General features: G+C 61.4%; 1 long non-coding RNA gene and 1 pseudogene across 1 annotated transcript, besides 4 other annotated features; one reads left to right on the top strand and one right to left on the bottom strand.

The window, feature by feature from the left end:
* The first annotated feature begins 1998 nt into the window (after positions 1-1998).
* Positions 1999-15165, top strand: LOC124903392 (uncharacterized). The gene is made up of 2 exons (XR_007064357.1): positions 1999-3525; positions 3840-15165. It is a non-coding gene; the product is annotated as an uncharacterized LOC124903392 (long non-coding RNA).
* Positions 5074-5135, bottom strand: RNU7-160P (RNA, U7 small nuclear 160 pseudogene; annotated as a pseudogene).
* Positions 8216-8265: an enhancer, noted in NCBI's record as "active region_9105". NCBI's record gives its function as "activates an Ori minimal core promoter by ATAC-STARR-seq in GM12878 lymphoblastoid cells {active_cell/tissue: GM12878}" and the evidence as "EXISTENCE:reporter gene assay evidence [ECO:0000049][PMID:35858748]".
* Positions 8506-8555: a silencer, noted in NCBI's record as "silent region_6159". NCBI's record gives its function as "represses an Ori minimal core promoter by ATAC-STARR-seq in GM12878 lymphoblastoid cells {active_cell/tissue: GM12878}" and the evidence as "EXISTENCE:reporter gene assay evidence [ECO:0000049][PMID:35858748]".
* Positions 11211-11932: an enhancer, noted in NCBI's record as "H3K27ac-H3K4me1 hESC enhancer chr14:104009885-104010606 (GRCh37/hg19 assembly coordinates)". NCBI's record gives its function as "activates a minimal SCP1, AML or CMV promoter by ChIP-STARR-seq in naive H9 embryonic stem cells {active_cell/tissue: H9 hESC(naive)}" and the evidence as "EXISTENCE:reporter gene assay evidence [ECO:0000049][PMID:30033119]".
* Positions 12655-13374: an enhancer, noted in NCBI's record as "H3K27ac-H3K4me1 hESC enhancer chr14:104008443-104009162 (GRCh37/hg19 assembly coordinates)". NCBI's record gives its function as "activates a minimal SCP1, AML or CMV promoter by ChIP-STARR-seq in naive H9 embryonic stem cells {active_cell/tissue: H9 hESC(naive)}" and the evidence as "EXISTENCE:reporter gene assay evidence [ECO:0000049][PMID:30033119]".
* Positions 15166-17414: the final 2249 nt, after the last annotated feature.

The following is a 17414-nucleotide window of genomic DNA, read 5'->3' as shown; positions in this document are numbered from 1 at the left end:
CCCGGGTTCACGCCATTCTCCTGCCTCAGCCTCCCGAGTAGCTGGGACTACAGGCGCCCGCCACCATGCCCGGCTAATTTTTTGTATTTTTAGTAGAGACGGGGTTTCACTGTGGTCTTGATCTCCTGACCTCGTGATCCACCTGCCTCAGCTTCCCAAAGTGCTGGGATTACAGGCGTGAGCCACCGCGCCCGGCCTTCCATTGTATTTTTGTTGTCTTCTCTGCCTGCTTTTATCTTCCAGGTGATCCAAACAGGGGCAGCCTTTGCAAGCCTTGCAAACGCATGATAGGCCCAGAGCCAAGAACAACGATGTGTATAGGTTGAAGAGAAACACTCTGGGGGAAATGTGAGCTTTTGAATAAATCCTTGGCCACACGTGAGGATTCTTATCACTTATACTGGCAACAGCATTAACCAGGCTCCTAGTGTATCCTCGTGTTGCGCTGAGGATTGAAGAATCCATCATGCCACCAGTGGCCATGGAGAAATTCCAGTTTAGTCAGAGAAGGGATGAGGGGAGTCAGCTGCGCCTGGTCTGTCTCAGGTGTGAATGTCTGGTGTCAGGTCAGGTGTCAAGTGCAAGCCGGAAAAAGACCAGTGGCTTAGGGAGGGGTCTCACTGGCCCTTCAAGGCTGGTTAGAAGTAGGACAGGAGACGGTGGGTGTGGCACCGGGAATCATGGCACTTTGGGAGGCTAAGGTGAGAGGACTGCTTGAGCCCAGGAGTTCAAGACCAGCCTGGGCAACACAGACCCCATCTCTACAAAAAAATCAATATAATTTTTTTTTTTTAAAGAAGAAACCCTGGAGTGGGCTGAGCTGGAACGAGGTGGCAGGGGCTGAGGGGCAGTGCCCTGGCAAGCTTGGCTCTTGATTCTGGGTACAAGCTGAGCCCTAATTGAAGGCCTCTTATATGCAGGTCTGGGGTCGCCCCTGCTGGTCAGGACATGTCTGAGGGCATCTTACAAAATGTTTTGGGTTCTTTTGTTTTTTTATTGAAACAGGGTCTTAATATGTTGCCCAGGCTGGTCTCGAACTCCTGGGCTCAAGCGATCCTCCTGCCTCAGCCTCCCAAAGTGCTGGGATGACAGACATGAGCTACTGCACTTGGCCTTGCTTTTCCATTTTGTGTAGTTATCATTGCACAGATTTTGGGGTGGGGGTGGGGGTCACCAGGCAGCCTTAGGACTCTGTGTCCCTAGTTCTAGGTCTCTTCAGCTTGTGCCCTTTTTTTATGCCAGTCACCAGCAGGCTATTTCAGGCTATTTCACCTATTTGCCCTCTTGGTCTTTCTAAAAGCACGGCTCTGCTCATATGGCTTTTCTGAATGAAAACCTTCAGTGGCCTCCACTATTTCACCCAGCCACGTCCCTGCGAGGCCCTGAGTGGTGTGGTCCAGGCTGCCCCAGCAGCCCCATCTCCACTGCCCAGCCATCTGTGCAAAATGTTCTATGTACATTTTAAGCTCTCAGCACCCCTTGAGGCAGGTTTTTCATACTATCTGTTTCATAGGTGATTCTGAGATTCAGGTGGTCCCTTGCCCAGGGAACTGCCCAGAGTCACTTGGCAAAGGAGGGAAGGACAATTTGGTTACAGTTCATGAGTCATGGACTTACCTGGAGAGTTGAAGAAATGGCTGGTGCTTGGGGCCCACCCCAGCGATTCTGGTTTCATCGGGATAGGGTACAGTCTGGACATCAGGATTTCTGAAAGCTCCCACCTCAGGGAATGCTGGCCAAGTGGCTAAAAGCAGGCTGGGGCCCAGACTGCTAGGTTCACATCTCAGCTGTGCCACTTTCTCTCTCTTTTTTTTTTTCTGTCGCCCAAGCTGGAGTGCAATGGCACAATCTCGGCTCACTGCAACCTCTGCCTCTTGGGTTCAAGCAATTCTCCTGCCTCGGCCTCCCAAGTAGCTGGCACTACAGGCGTGCGCCACCACGCCCAGCTGATTTTTCTATTTTTAGTGGAGACACGGTTTCACCATGTTGCCAGGAGGGTCTCCATCTCTTGACCTCGTTATCTGCCCACCTCAGCCTCCCAAAGTGCCAGGATTACAGGTGTGAGCCACCGTGACCGGCGAGCTGTGCCACTTTCAAAGCTGAGCCCTTGAGCTTCAGTTTCTTCTGAAAGGTGGGCAGTACTTAGCACTTAGGTTTAAAGGATTCAGCTGGTTAATGTGAAACATTCAGCTCCAGTATTATGTCTCAAAGTCACTGTGTCAGTGAACCGGCATCCCTCATCGTGGAAAGACTGTCTTAAACGAGTGCTTTATTCTGTCCGTACGTCTTCCACTTGTGAATTACAACTGCAAAAATGTATCTTTCTATAGTAAGGTTGAAGTGAAGTGAAGCTATTTCCCCGCTTCGGATTCTTTGGTCTTTCCGGAGCTGCCAGGGGTCTGTGACCCCATTTGGTAAGGACTCAGTGCCGCACACTGCCTCTCCATCTCTGGTCCCCGCTGCGGTCACAGCGAATGGTAGGTTTTCAGTGTGTGTTAGAACCCTTTCAGTCTCGAGCCGTTTCCCTGTGGCTGCATTTTCAGATGAATGTTGCCAGTTCCCCACCTTCTGTCTCCATCTCACACTGGTGTCTGCCCCACCTCAGTCCTCTGTGGGTGTTGGGACATGGAGCTGGGTGGTTCTGAGTGCTGAGCGGAGAGTAAGGTCATCAGATGACTTTGCTGTTCATGGCCCTGGGTTCTGGTGCTCTCATCCGAAGCCCTCCCTGCCCATCCCTTGGGCCGTGGAGCGTTTCTTCTGTTCCTGTACCCTATTAATAGCTCTCCTAACACAGTGGCTCACCTGTCTCTCCCATGCCAGGCCACAGTGCCTTTCAAGGCAAGATCTGTCTCTTCATCCATGCAGCCTCAGGTCCTGGCAGTAATGGGCACTCACATGCCTTTTGGATGAGCTGTTCTTTGGAAATAGTGTCCTTAGCTCCTGGCATGTAATAGGCATTCGGCGAATACTTGCTGAATAAATGAGTGGAAAAATCTCAGATCTTCAGACAGCTTCAGAGAGTGTTTAAAATCCTTCTGCTTATCGGATCCAAAGGACCTTCTCTCTGCTGCACCTTCCACCGGGGCTCTGGGGTGGCCAATCAGGATCTCTCACCTGAGGCCACCTCATCCCCCTGAGAGCCCGGGTGGAATCAAAAGTGCCTCCTACTCGGTCCCTGGGGCAGGAGGGCCAGCAGGCCAGAGCGGGTCACACCCTGCTGTAGAGAAGCAAGGCCTCTCCAATTCCAGAGCCCTTGGCTGGCCACCCAGCCACAGAGGCCAGGCAGGCTGGAGCCTCTGAAGATGAGGGGTGGGGATGTTGGCTTCTGTCTCTGAAATTCGTCTGCTCGTGCTTGTGATGCCGAAATGAGCAGTTAGCTCTGTGATTCCTGAGCCTGGGCCGACCTCCATGTCCTCGGTGCTGTTGGAAAGGACCAGGGAGGGGCAGTGTCAGGGCCACCGCGTGCCTAGTGTGCCCTTCAGACCGATTTGACATGAAGAGGAATCTTCCTGGCTGCTGGGTGAGGTACTTGAAGGAAACCCACTAACCCATGGGGTGAGGAGGACTGAGGGAGGGTAGCTGAGCCTTGGGGTGGAGTCTCCATTTAACTAGCATCTGCCGAGTACCTGTGAGGTGCTGGGGGCAAAGGCGTGGACCTGGGGCAAGGGCCCCTGCAGAGGTCACGTGGCTTTCTGAGGGATCCATCGCAAGAAGCATTGGCCGGATGTGATGGGGTGGTTGAGAAGCCCAGGGAGGCTTCCTGGCGGAGGTGGGAGGTTAGCTGGTCACGGACAAGAAGTGGAACGTGACAGGAAGTGCAGGAGTTCGTCTCTTCCCAGGCAAGACCGTAGTGGTGAACACACTGTTCCAGTCGGCGGGCTGGGAGCTTCATCAGAGTGAGAGTGCTGGCAGCCACCACTGCTGCTGGAGCCGGGAGGGCCAGGCAGGGCCAGCCAAGCTGGACCACGAGCTGCTGCGGCAGGGCTGGGGCCTGAGAGTCCTCCGAGGGACAGGAGGCAGGTCCGCTCTCCACAGGGTGAGGGAGAGAAGGGGACCTGAGAGCGTCGGGGTAGGGCCTAGGAGCTGCACTTCAGCCATGAGGAGGGGCAGCCGTGGATGGTTTTTAGCCTGGGGAGTGACGGGCCATGCTTCCCTTTGGGACGGCCCCAGCAGGACAGTGCCTCGCCAGTCCACATGAGCCAGCGGCCGCTGTGCCATGCCTGCTCTTCCAGGCCGCCTCCACCCCCACAGCCGCGCCCCTGACTCTCGTCCCTTGTGGACATCGGCCCTTCCGACAGCTTGTGTGTGCCCCGTGATGCCCCCCCCCCATCCCCACCTAGCACTGTTCCAGGTGGGCGGGCATCCACTCAGCCTCTCCCTGGTGCTCACCCAACTCCCTCCCAGACAGAAATGAGACCAGCCGAGACACTCTGTGGGAGGCTGTCCATGAGCCCCAGAGCCCCAGGAGGGCCCTCCAGGCTGGTCCCACCAGCCCAGGGTGCAGCACCGCCTGGGGTGAGGTGGCGGCTGCAGGTGGCTGGCAGTTCAGATACTGGAGCTCCCAGTGGGAGGGATGGCTAGCCACTCACCCAGAACCTTCCCGGAATGGGGGAGGAGAGAGCCCACTTGTGGCAGCATCAACAGGATTTTGAGAACACAGTTCTGGAGCTGAAGGCCTGCAGCGAGCCTGGTGCAGGATGAGGCGTCAGACCTGGGCCCCTCCCAGGCCGCTGGGTTCCAGTGCTCCCGACAGGCCCTCTGTGCCCAACAAGCCTCACCCTGGTCATGAGGGGCCCAGGGCAGGTTTTCTTTTCAGGCTGAGAACTGGGCCTCTGGGCCTGGTGAGGGGCAGTGGCCCAGTGGTGGCCACCTCCCAAGGCTCCTCTGTGGAGTAGGACACCCCTGCCAGGAAGGGCCGGTGTCCCAGCCCAGCCCTGGGGTGGGGAGCAGAGCCTCTCCCTAGGAGCCTGGGCTTCAAGCCTTCTCTCCCCACCCAGCCAGCCTGGTGGGGGAAGGAACCACCTCGGATTTGATTGAGGAAGACGTTTTTTTTTCTTTTTCTTTCTTTATTTAAAGGGCTTTCCAGTAAAAATCGGAAAACCTGCTAGTCAAATTCTAGAAGAGCTGTGACACTGGAAAAGACATTTTTGTAGCTAAGTTCATGAACAAATTCACACGCTCCACACTGCCGCCTTCTCGGCCTCCCTTTCCCCAGCCGATCTCCATCACCTGCCCCTGCCCTCAAAGCACCGAGTCCCCCAGGGCCTGTGCCTCAGGGCAGCTGCCAGGACTGCCAGTCCCCACCAGGGGCTGTCTCCCTCCCTGGGGGACACGCTCAGAGCTGCACTGGCTGGGGAGGCTCTGGGCGGAAGGGTGGAGAGACAAAGAGGTCTTTGTGTCCCTCTGGCTGGATGGGAGGACAGACAGGTCAGCCAAGGCTGTGTGACTGGTGAGGCCCACCCAAGGTCCCAGACTCCTGCCACCACCTACCTGGGGCCCTGACATGTGCAAGACATCTCTGTGTGCCTCAGTTTCCCGGCTGCGAGGTGGGGTCAGGCCACGCACCAGCCTGCCTCCCCACCTGGCTTCCCGCCCGGCGTCACCAGCCCTCACAGCTTCATGTTCCTGCGGTTTACCACTTTGGTGTCTTTCCTGGCCCCTTCCCCACGGGCACGTGAACTCGCCGCATCCCCAGTGCTTTCACAGACTGGTGAGGGCTGGGAAGGGCAGACCCACAGAGGGCCATAGCCGTGTGGGGTGGGGCACCCAGGACTGCTGCGTGGACCAGGAGGGAGGAAGAAGACCAGAAGCCGTGTCCTGGCAGCTCGGAGGCCCTGCGCCTGCAGAGGCCGCTGCGGGGCAAGGTCAGGCGGGGCCGGGATCTGGCTCTGGCCTAGGTGAGGGGTGGCCAGGTGAGCAGAAGGAGCTCCCCAGGGCCGCCTCTGTCACCTCATTTTCCTGCCAGGCCTGGGGCAGGGAGGGTGCCCAGCAAGCATCTGCAGGCTGACAGAAGGGCATGGTGCCCGAGGCTCAGTGTGGCTGGGAGCCAGGACAGAGCCATCTTCCCGCCTCTGGGTCCCAGGCCAGCCCTTCCCAGGTTGGGCAGGCTGGGCCTAGAGAGGCACCAGGGCTCTGCTCACAGGGACAGAAATGGATGCGGAGGGCCAGCCGGGTTCCTTGAGGTCCCTCTCCCTTCTGCTGTCTCTGGGTGTACCAGTCACCCAGAGAGGGTGAGAGTGGAACGGCCGCTGTCTGGTGCTGGGTCACGGGCAGAAACAGCCTCATGGCCAGGCCACCTGATGGCCATTCCCACAGGAAGGACTGGCTTCTGTGCTGTGTCCCAGCTCTGGCATGACCAAGCCATCCTCTGACCACCAGCAGCCACGCCTGGCTTCAGAGAAGCCAGAGAGCCCAGTGGGCCACGTGGACCCCAGCGGGCACCACGTGCCAGATGTCAGCTGCAGTCAGTCTCCAACCACAGTGCCTGCGCTCTGCCCCACCCTGCCTCATCGTCCTCAGAGGGCTTAGCACGATGCCAGGGGCCCCGCCACCTGAGACCCTGAAGACGCCAAACTTGTTCCGTTCCTGCTTGTATCCCCAGTACCTAGAGCAGCACCTGGCTCAACACGCTGACACCTGTGGGTGCACTCTGCAGGTGGCGTGGGCCCCGGGGGCAGCAGGAGCAGAGCCCAGGGGGACGGTTTTGCCTCCTGAGTCGGGGAACATGCTGCAAAGCTCTGTGGGCACCTGTCTTGTGGGGCACGGGGGGTCAGCAGGAACCGGCACCCTCAGGCGTGGCTGGGTGTACATGAGCTCTGTGCGTGTGCCACCAGGATCACCCATGTTGGGGGAGTCAGGGCCCCGCTGGGTGTACCCTTTACCTGGAGCCTGGCACAGAGGCAGGGCCTTCGGGTGGAGGGGCATGCCCTTGCTGATGGCCAGAGATGAAAGTGAGACCCAGAAAGAGATCAGGAAACTGGGATGTTCAGATTCTCCCGGGGGCCCCTCCAACTCTGCTCCTCGGGCGCAGCCGGCATTTCTCTGCACGTGGGGATGTAAAGGAAAATGAAGACTTTTCAAAAGCAGAGCCCAGAGCCAGGGCCGGGCACACTGGAGGCCCTGGAAGAACTTCAGGCAGCGGGTAGGGGACAGCGCCAGGACTGCCAGGGCTTCCTGGGCCCCACAAGCCAAGGGAGGTTTGGAGGCTTTGCTGAGTGCCCCTGGGGGCAGCAGTGGGGTTGGGGGAGGGGGGTGGGAAAGGATTTGGGGGCAGTGAGGACGGCACCAGGGGATGCGGGCACCCAGGGTTCTGGCCTGGCTGGCAGGAGGAGGGGTGAGCCATGGGGGCGGGGTCACAGAAGCATGGGCAGCAGAACCCACTGGGCCTCGCCGATAGCTGCTTATTAAAGGTGCTGGGGTACAAAAATTAGCTGGGCGTGGTGGCGGGCGCCTGTAGTCCCAGCTGCTCGGGAGGCTGAAGCATGAGAATTGCTTGAACTCAGGAGGCAGAGGTTGCAGTGAGCCGAGATCGTGCCACTGCACTCCAGCCCGGGCGACAGAGCAAGACTATCACACGCAAAAAATAAAAAATGGAAAAAAAAAATTAAAAAACGTGCTGGGGATGTCAGGGTGCAGGCGTGGGGCAGCGAGGCGCCCAGCTGCCTTCTTGAGCTGTGGTCTGGTCTGGGCATTGCCTGCAGATGGCCACAGCAGGCCCAGGGTGCTCTTGGCAGCCTGGGGCTCCTGGGCGTGTGTGCCCCTTCCTCTTGCATCCTGGTTTCATCTCCCCGGAAAGGGCATCTTCCAGCCCTTAATCCTGACCCAGCCCCTGAAAGGAAAAGCAGGCATCCCAGCACCAATGTGGCTATGCAGGTGGTCCTGTGGAGCAGGCCATGGGGGCCTGGGGAAGAGTGTGCAGGCTGGACGGCTGGAGCAAGGACCCCCAGGTTGGAGCCTGGCAGGCAGGTGAGAGTCTGCAGGGCCAGATCCCACAGAGCCTTGGGGCAGCGGGCCCCTACAGGGGCAGGACTGCATCCTGGAGATCAGTGGCTCCCACAGAGAGCACAGCACCAGTCCCAGGCTTCCCCTGGGTTGGGTTCTCTTTGGGGAGCCCCCCAAGGCCTGCCCCACAGCAGCCCACCAAGTCTGGCCCAGTGACTGCCATGGACCCCACACCGGCAGTAGGTCTGTGCCAGGGCAGACCCGATAGCCCGCCCCAGGGGGTGCCTCTAGCTGAACGTGCGAGGCCTGTCCCTGCTGCAGTGGGGACCATGGCTGGCCTGTTCCCTCAACCAGTCCCAGTGCACATGGGCCCCACACAGCTCAGCATCCGCACTGGCCAGGCTGGGTGGAGGGAGGACTCCAGACAGACCCTGCTACCTGCCGCCCTCCACACAGCCCCTGGCCTGCAGGGTGGCTCACCTGCACAGCACGTGGCTCCCTGACCTTGGAGGTCCCCCAAACGCCACGCACCTGCCCCTCCAGGCCCCCACTTGCCTGCTTGGTTCTCCCATGTCTGGTCACCAGGTGGCGCCCAAGGCCAGGTTTTGCCGAGCCCAGAACACCAGAAGTGGTCCTGCCTGGGCCACGCCAGGTGCACCTGCCCTGGCCAATGGTGGACAGGTGGCCATGGCATCGCCTGAGCTGCGCTTCTGTTCTGGGGGTGGATGGCGCTTGCGCGGGGCATCCAGTGACCACCTGCTACCATCATGGGTTGGTACGGATCCCCAGCAGATCTGGCAGTCTCTAACCTACGCCCCCCAACCCCCCTAACTCTGCCACAGGCAGCCTGCCCTGCCTGCCGGTGTGGGTCTGTCATCAGGATGGTGGTGGCTCACAGCCGGCTGGCAGGGGCTTGTCCTTCCCCGTGGCAGGGCCTGTGGGCAAGGCCTGTGCCATCAGCCCTGCGTCTCTGCACAGGTGGCCCTTCCTTGGACCCTGGCCCGGCCCTCCTGGGTAATTTGTGCTCCTCTTCCACACCCCAAGCCAAATGCCACTTCCGGCAAGAAGGCTTTGGTGACCTCCCCGACCACGTCCGTGGGTGCTGACCCCATCCCTGGCCAATGGGGTCACCATACTTCACAGTGGCGTTGGCAGCAGCCAGGACAGCTCAAGTGGCCGTGCAGCAGGCGGGGGTCACTGCTGTGAACAGCCGCCCCCGGAGCCGCCTCCACACCACACAGGGCAGCTGGCGGGCGGGGTGTGGGGCTGTGGCACTGGCTGCCTTGTGCTTCGCTGGTCCCAGTGGGGGCTCTGGGTGTGGTGATGGAGAATCAGTGCCTGCCCTCCAGCCTCGCTTCTTGGTGGCGGAGACCTCTGCCCACAGCGAGCCTTGGCGCATGTCGCTGCAGCTGCAGGAACAAGCCAGGCCCCCGCGCCCTGGCCTTTATGCCCCCGAGTTCTCCCTGTCTTGCCCTTTCTCCTTCATTGCCCTAAAAGACCTCGGTGCCAGCAGACACACCTGCCACAGGGTCACTGAGGCAGCTGCCTCTGTGAAGCCCCCTCTCCCTCAGGAAGCTGTTTGGGGCCTCTCGGTACCCACTCCTGCCCTGCCCCAAACCCAGCCCTGCCTTCTGAGAGCACCTCTGGGTACCTCTCATACAGCGCCGCGCTCAGGAGGGCTTCGGGGGGACTCAGCGGCTTTGTGACGAGGGCCCTGCCTGTCAGCCTCAGCTCCAGCCTGTCCCAGGGGCCTCAGATTCTAAGAGGCAGCAGCGTTTACCCCAAAGGACAGATGTGCTCCTGAGGAAGCCACAGCCTCTGCGGCAGTGCCAAGAGCCATGGGCCTCCTGTTGGTAAAGGGACCGCCGGGTCCCTGTCCACCGGCCCCTCAGGAGCCGGTGGCGGCACGCGTGGGGCAAGGACCTCGGCCAGCTCTGTGCCATTGGGCTGGAGGCTGAGGCATGGGTCAGAGGGCCCAGCTGTGGTCTTCAGAGAGGGCCTGGGTGTTCCCTGCATTCCCACCCTGCAGCCTATAGCCCGTCACCTCTCCAGGACGCCAAGTGCAAGGAAGCCGTCCCGCCCCTTGGTGGGGTCGTCATCAGCAGGTTTCAGGGCAGCCAGGGAACCCGGGGCCATCTGTCTCCCCGGACACCCAGGTTCTCCACCCTGTGACATCAGCTGACAACAGGAGCCAGGCTGGGCCACCCAAGGCCTCTTGTGCCTCAAGAGACAGATACCCTCCTGCCACACCCCGGCAAAGCGTCGCTGCCCGGCCCCCTCCGTGCCATCTCTAGGCCACTTTGTCCTGCGTGTAGGGCTGGTGGTGCTCACCCCACTGTGGGGCTGTGAGCATCCAATGGGGCGCTTGGTATCCAGTGGCCGGCGAGGCGCTGGCCCAGCAGGAAGGGCCCAGCCTCAGCTCGCCGGCATCAGAAGTCCCAGTCCTCCCAGCACAGGGCCTTGAGTCTGTCCCACAGGCCCAGCGGTGGGGAGTAGGGTTCAGGTTGGCTTGTCCTCTGAATTCTAGGCCCCCAGCCTCCTCCTCAAGGTCAGCAATGACCTCTCAGTCTCAGCAGGTGGCTGAGATGGGGCAGCCCCTGGCCTTGCACGTTCATGCCCACCACCACGTGTGCTCTGCTCGGAGGCCGCGCACTGGCCTGGGGCCCCTGGGGCCTGGGTGTGAACCTGGAGGCTGCAGCCCCAGGGCACGCTAAGGACTGAGCGCCTGCCTGTGGCTGTGGGGTGTATGCATGTGTGTGGCATGTGTACATGTATGTGTGAGCATGTGCACATTCCTGTGTGTGTGTGTGTGCTGCGTGGCTGTGAGCACGTGTGTGCTGCGTGGCTGTGAGCACATGTGTGCTGCGGGTTTGAGGGTGTAACGAAGTGGGACAATTAGTCTGCCCCCCAGCAGCCTGTGGGTGGAGAAAGCTCTGAGGCCCCCCGACTGGGATGGGGCCCTGCCAGGGGCTGGGAGGGCCAACTGGCAGGCTCTGCGTCCTGGGAACGCGCCCAGAGGAAGCCTGCACGGGCGGCGGCGGCGCCATAGCAACGCGCACAAAGCGCTGTCCTACTTACACCCGCCCCCGCCCATCTCGCTTCGCTGCAGGGGAGGGGGCATAGGGCCTCTGGGGCTCCTGGGGGAGGGGGCATAGGGCCTCTGGAGCTCCTGGGGGAGCCACGCACCCCGGCCTGTGGTCGCTCGGTGCCCCAGAAGCCTCAGGCCTCCTCCTGGCCTGGGCCAGGCCTGCAGACACTCCTGCCCATCCACACACGGAGGTAAAGACGGGGTGCAGGGAGGTCCAGCACCCAGCAGGTGCCCCCCGCCCTGGGCAGCTGTGGACCTAGTGGCTCTGTAAGGCATTGACGGTTTCCCAGCCCCGGAAATCTGGGAGTCTTGGCTCTGCTGATGACTGCAAGGCAAGCTCAGGCCTCAGGTGTCGGGGCTGGAGGTCAGGCCAGGAGCTGCTCGCATGCCCTGCTCACAGGACGAGGCCCTTCACACCCTCTGCCCTACGCACTTGGCCTTCTGTCATCCGCATGGCCAGGACACCTCTGGGCCTGGCAGTGAGCCCTGCTGACCAGCACACCCCGTGCCTGCCTCCCGGACCCAGCCTGACCTGGGCCTGCTGCCTCCTCCTGCAGGAAGCCCACGTGGTCTGGCCTGATGTGCTCAGCGCCTTGGGGATGGAGCACGTGCCCAGTGCCTGGGAGGCAGAGGAACAGGCCTTGGGAGCTGGGCCTGAGTAGCAGTGGACATCTGTGGGACTCTCAGGCCACCTGTCTCTCTGTGCTGGCCACACTGCTCTCTGCATTGGCCACCCTGGGCCACTAGGCCCTAGGCCTCAAGACAGGGTACAGGGAGGTGGTGGGGGGGGAACAGTGTCCTGCGGGGGGCCAGGAAGCCAGGCCGAGGGCCAACAAGGCTGTGAGGACGCTTTGTGGGTCACCTGGACCCTGGGGACGGGAAGCCCTTGGCCACACATGGGGGGTGGGTGTCACTCAACACCACGCATTGAAAATCAGATATTTTCCTGAGCTCTCCTGGAGGCCTGGGGTGGCCTGCTGCGTGCACTTGGGCTTGGCGGCTGTGGCCGCTGCCCTGCTGGGTGACCTGCTAGGTGACCATGCTCAGCAGGGATCTTCCCGCCTGCCCCAACCCAGGCCCTGGGGCTTCTGGGCAGCTCTGACTCGTCTGTCCTAGTTCCCCCTCCAGACTGGGCACCCCCGCCCCTCACCCACTGCTCCCTCACCCATCAGATGCATCCCCTCTGTGTCCCCAGGGCCCTCACAGGGCCTGCCTGGGCCAGCGCCCAGCAGCCATCTGCAGAATGAAGGAATGGGCTGAATGAACGAATGAAGCTTGAAGGGGCGGCCCCATGCACCCCATGTGTAAGTTGGGGGCTTGGTTATCTGTTTGCACCAAGTGACCCTCTCCCAGGGTCAGAGTAGTTGCCGTCCCCTCCCCCACCTCGGCCCCCCCTAATTTATGCTACGAGGGGAGCCAGCCACTCGCTGGTCCCCTGCCTGGCAGCGGCTTTGTCCCCAGGCGGATTCCCAACGGCTGCCTTTGGGAAGAAAGGGCCCTTCTCCGGCCGGTGGTGAGGTCACCAGGAGGGGCCTGGCGCACACAAAGGCCGCCCTCCCTGCCCCGCCCTGCTGGCAGCTGCCTCTTTGTCCCCAGGAGAGACGCTGAGGGGCCCCAGCTCAGCCTTGGAGGAGCCTGGGCTTCCATCCCAGGCGGGGCACAGAGCGGGGGAGCAGCAGGAGCAACCCCAACCCTGACTTTGCTCCTGATCAAGTGGCAACACCTGTTGAGGGGCAGCCCCTCCAGAGGGGGAGGGGCTGTGTCCAGCTGTCCGCCCGGGTCCCCAGGAGAGGCAGGCAGGCTTCTGGGGGTGGGGACGGCAGCTGCAGGAAGGGGTGAGGAACCTGAGGTGTTAGGAGCTGCCTGGGCAGTGTGACCCTGGTGATGGGGGCTCTGGGGCAACCATCCAGACGTGTGGACCAGCTGCTAAAACCATGCCTCCCTGCCGTGCACGCGGTGGAATGAGGGGCTGGCAGGCCTGGGGCACTCCTGGGCACTTCCAATGCCAGCCTCAAGGAGACTCCCACGAGCCCAGTTCGGGAGCTCCTGAGGGTACCCCTGGGACGGGCAGGGGACTGAGGCTCAGAGAGGGCAAGGCCTTTGGCCAAAGCCCCGCCCAGGGTGGTAGGGCTGGGACCCGCCCCTGCCCCAGCCTCCCTGCCTTCCCCAGGCAGAGCACAAAGGAGGCGTCCCTCCCCATGGAGGGCACTGGATACCTCCTGGTGTGGGGCAAAGGGCCCAGTGAGGCCAGCGAGGAACGGGTGGCAGAGACCAGAGTGGCAAAAGCCATGCAAACAGAGCAGCGGGGGCTGAGACCACCGGAGGGTGGCGGCACTGCCCGGCGGGTTCCACTGTGTGTTCACGGAGCGCCTACTGTACGCCTGGCTCACCCAGGACGGAAAGGAACTGTGTACACTCTTGGCCCACACGGAATGTGTGCTTTAGCCGGGACCCTGGGTGCCACTGCAGACAGCAGCTGGGGTCCGACCTCTACCCTCAGGGCTGGGGCAAGAGGCAGGGGCTGAGGCAGAGGGACGGAGGGCGTGTGTTGGGGGAGGGCGAGGGCTGGCCGCTGTGCCCAGAAGCTCAAGAACCGTCTGTGAGGTGGGGAAGGCCACCGGGCACGGCGACCTCCTAGCCTCCCTCCTCCTGGCCACCAGCTGGGCCCAGAGCTCCTTAGCAGGGCCATCCACGGAGGGGGAGGATGTGGAGCCTGAAGGGAGCCACTGGACAGGGACAGCCACAGGGGCCCTGTGGCTCTGGCAGAGCCTGGCTGGCAGGGCTGGGGGCTACTGAGTCTGGGGCCAGGAGAGGGGTGGCAGGGGATGGAGGCTCCACCAGAACTCCAAGCCCTGTTCTGAACCCCATGAGGGCCTGCCTACACCTGGGGGCACCAGCCAGGCAGGCACAGTCAGAGGCAGGAGAGGCGGGGAGTGCCGGCGGCCCCGAGACAGAGGCCACGAAGAGGTGAGCAGGCCAGAGCTCGGGGCTGCAGGAGCCATCGAGGCACCCTCCGACCAGGTCCTCAGTTGGGTGGGGGCTGGCATCAGGGAGTGTTGAAGCCCCACCAGGAGGGTGGCTGCCCTTCACCCTGAGGGGCCAGGCAGCCAGTGAGCCTCAATGGCCTGAGGGTGGGGGTGCACGCCACATTGCTGAGGGACAGGTGTGGCCTGGGCCCCTCAGGGTTTCCCCGCCAAGAAGCGTCTGCTTCCCCGTTGCCTGGCACCCAGAATGTCTATTGTGCCTGTCGCCCCCACTGTCCCCACCCCATCCATGGCCAGCCCCCCGCCCACAGCTGGCCCAGCATTCCTCTGCAGGGCCCGTGTCTCTGCAGGCCCAGGGCTTCCAGGCAGGGGCCAGGCCCCGGACTGCATTCAGCCTACATGTGCCATGCCAGCACCCTGGGTGACAGGCTGGGTCCTGCCAGCTACCAGTGCTGGCCACTGGCCTGGGGCATCTCTCCTTTTTTTATTTTTTAATCATTTGTAGAGACAGGGTTTCCCTGTGTTGCCCAGGCTGGGCTCAAGCGATCCTCCCATCTTGGCCTCAGGCATGAGCCACCACACCCAGTCTCCTTTTTTCAAAAATAAAAACTTTTGGAAATTGTCAAAGAAATGCACCAGCAGAATCGTGTGAAGAATCCTGTACGCAGCTCCCAGGAGTCTGTGGCCAGCCTGGTTTGAGGTCTACTCCCCTTCCTCCCCAACCCTGTTATTCAGAGTTGGATCTCAGCCACCCTGTCATTCCCCAGCACTTTGTCAGCATGCTCGCAAATGTGGCCACTCCTTAAACTCACAAAACGGCCACTCAAGCTTCAAGCTTCCCAACTGTCCTATTTTGTAAAAGACATTTGGTTTATTCAAACTGGGGCCCAGCGGGGTCTGCGCACAGCTACCTGCTGTTGCTGCCTCAGTTTCTCTCTGGGAGCACGAGGGCATTCACAGGGGAGCAGCAGGGAGCGACAGGGTCTGGGGCTCAGAAGCAGACAGTCCAGCCACACCGGGTGAAACTGAGCTGCAACTGACAGTGCAGCCTCAGAGGATCAACCAGCTGCTTGCAGGAAGCTGCCAGAGAGCTGCCGCTTCAGTTAATAACGGGGGTTTTTATTTAAGAAATAAAAAGAAATGTTTGCGAGACTCCCGGGTCTTCCAGCAGTGATTCTCAAATTTGAGTACCAGAGCACCTGGAGGCTTGGGGAAAGGGGGCCCCCTGGGCCCTGCCTTGGAGTTTCGGCTCAGCAGGGGTGGGGTGGGGACGACGCTGACCAGCCGGTCCAGGGGCCACATCTTGAGATGCTTAGTGTCACGGGCACTTCAGGAACATACCTGTGGCTAAAGTTTAGCAATGGTGTCGTCACCTAGAACACGGGAACTGCCTTGTGGGTTTTTAAAGATTAAAGAACCAGCCGGGCGCGGTGGCTCACGCCTGTAATCCCAGCACTTTGGGAGGCCGAGGTGGGTGGATCTTGAGGTCAGGAGATCAAGACCATCCTGGCTAACACGGTGAAACCCTGTCTCTACTAAAAATACAAAAAAAAAAAAAAAAAAAAAAAATTAGCCAGGCGAGGTGGCGGATACCTGTAGTCCCAGCTACTCGGGAGGCTGAGGCAGGAGAATGGCGTGAACCCGTGAGGCGGAGCTTGCAGTGAGCCGAGATCGCGCTACTGCACTCCAGCCCGGGCGACAAAGCAAGACGGTCTCCAAAAAAAAGATTAAAGAACCAAAATCAGCGTGCCTGGCATGTGGTAGGCATATCTATCTCTCTGTGCAGGAGGCACCTACTATGCTGCTACGAGGATGGCTTCAGCACCCACCTGGTGGCAGCATACGCAGGTGACAGCACAGATGCAGGCTCTGAGGGCCTGTGACACCACCCACCTCAGCCCTCTCAAGGCTGCTCTGGGATGAGGAGGGCCCGACACGGGAAAATGGATAGGAAACAAGACACGGGGTGAAGTCCTGGGCTGGGGGAAACAAGCCCCCAAAAGCCTGGCGGAGCAGGACGGCCTGCTCTGACCCATGCCCTTCAACCACGTTAGAAGAGCCCAGGACAGACCGGGAGGGGCGAGAGGAGGGCGGCTTGGGGCAGTGGCATGCAGGCCCCTAAGTCTCAGGAGCTGAGGGGCATGGGTGGCAGAGCACCAGAGGGCCAGGCACAGGCGCCACCCTCCCCGCAGCCCCTAGCTGGTGTCCTCATCTGTCAGGGGGCACTGCCGTGCTTTGCTCCCCTACCTGGCCCTGCGCGGGAAGCTGGTGGGACCTGAGGCACGGAAGGGAGCATGGGGTGGGAGCATGGGAGGGAGGGGGCCTGCCATGGGGGGCCAGGAGGTGAGGACGCCCCTCCCCACTCCCGTCCCCTCTGCTTTGCTGCTTCTAGAAGTGCCTGCACTGGCCTGCCCCCTCTTTGAAGGGACAGATGTCGGGGAGAAAGCTGATTATTGTCAAAGGCTGGAGGCTGTGACCGGAGATCTCGGTGAGCGTGACCCAATTCTGAGCTATTCTCAGCCTGGTGGGAGCAAGTTATTCCCTCCCACCAACGCCACTGCTTTGGAGGCGGCCTGACTTTGAAACGCCCTCGTCCTGGCTACCGGGCTGGGCCACACAGGCTCCCCTGGGCACAGAGGCTCCGCGTGGGGAGGGCCCATGGGCTGGCAAGGCCACTGCTGGGGCAGGGCAGCAGGCTGGTCCCACTGTGCCCCTCCTTGTTCACTGATGACCCACCGGGGGCAGGGCCCAACCCGCTGGCTCCGGGGTGCACACACCTGGCACCCAGCCTGTCTGCTGCCAACCCGCTGGCCACCTCGGGAAGCGACTTCTCTCGAGGCTAAGTTCCAGTGTCCAGGAGTGGGCAGTGCGCAGAGCTCCTGAGACAGAAAGGCCCGTCCACTCCCCCACTCCACACCGACCCACACCTGCCACACAGGGTCCAGGCCACCACCGCTCCCGCAGCCACAGCTCACTCTGCACTGTGTGCCCAGATCTGGGTCTGGCTCCTGGGAGCCCCGAAGGGCAGGCCTGGGCGTCCTGAATGGGCAGGGGCTGGCACGTGGGAGGCACTCAACCCATGCATACTGATGACAGCGCCCACCCTCTGTGGCTGGTGAGGACAGGGCGCGAGGCCCGGCAGTTGCTCACTCCCTCCTGAGGGCATCAGGAGCCAGGCCCCTCTCTGGGGACCCTCTCGCTCAAGGCCCCTCCAGGCTGGCGTGCGAGCCCAACAGCCCCGGGGCTGTGGGGGCACTGAGTCCAGTGCCCACCCTGCTTAGAGCAGCTTTGGAAATGGCACTTGCCAGCCCAGAGGCTGGAAGTGCACCCTCTCCACCCACTGCTTCTGGGGCACCTCCCACCCCCCTGCATGACTTGCCCACCCTTCTCCAATGTCCACC

Source organism: Homo sapiens, chromosome 14 (genome assembly GCF_000001405.40).
Source record: "Homo sapiens chromosome 14, GRCh38.p14 Primary Assembly".
In the NCBI taxonomy this organism is placed as follows: domain Eukaryota; kingdom Metazoa; phylum Chordata; class Mammalia; order Primates; family Hominidae; genus Homo; species Homo sapiens.
The sequence above is the reverse complement of the archived record's forward strand: the minus strand, read 5'-3'. Positions and strand labels throughout refer to the sequence as shown.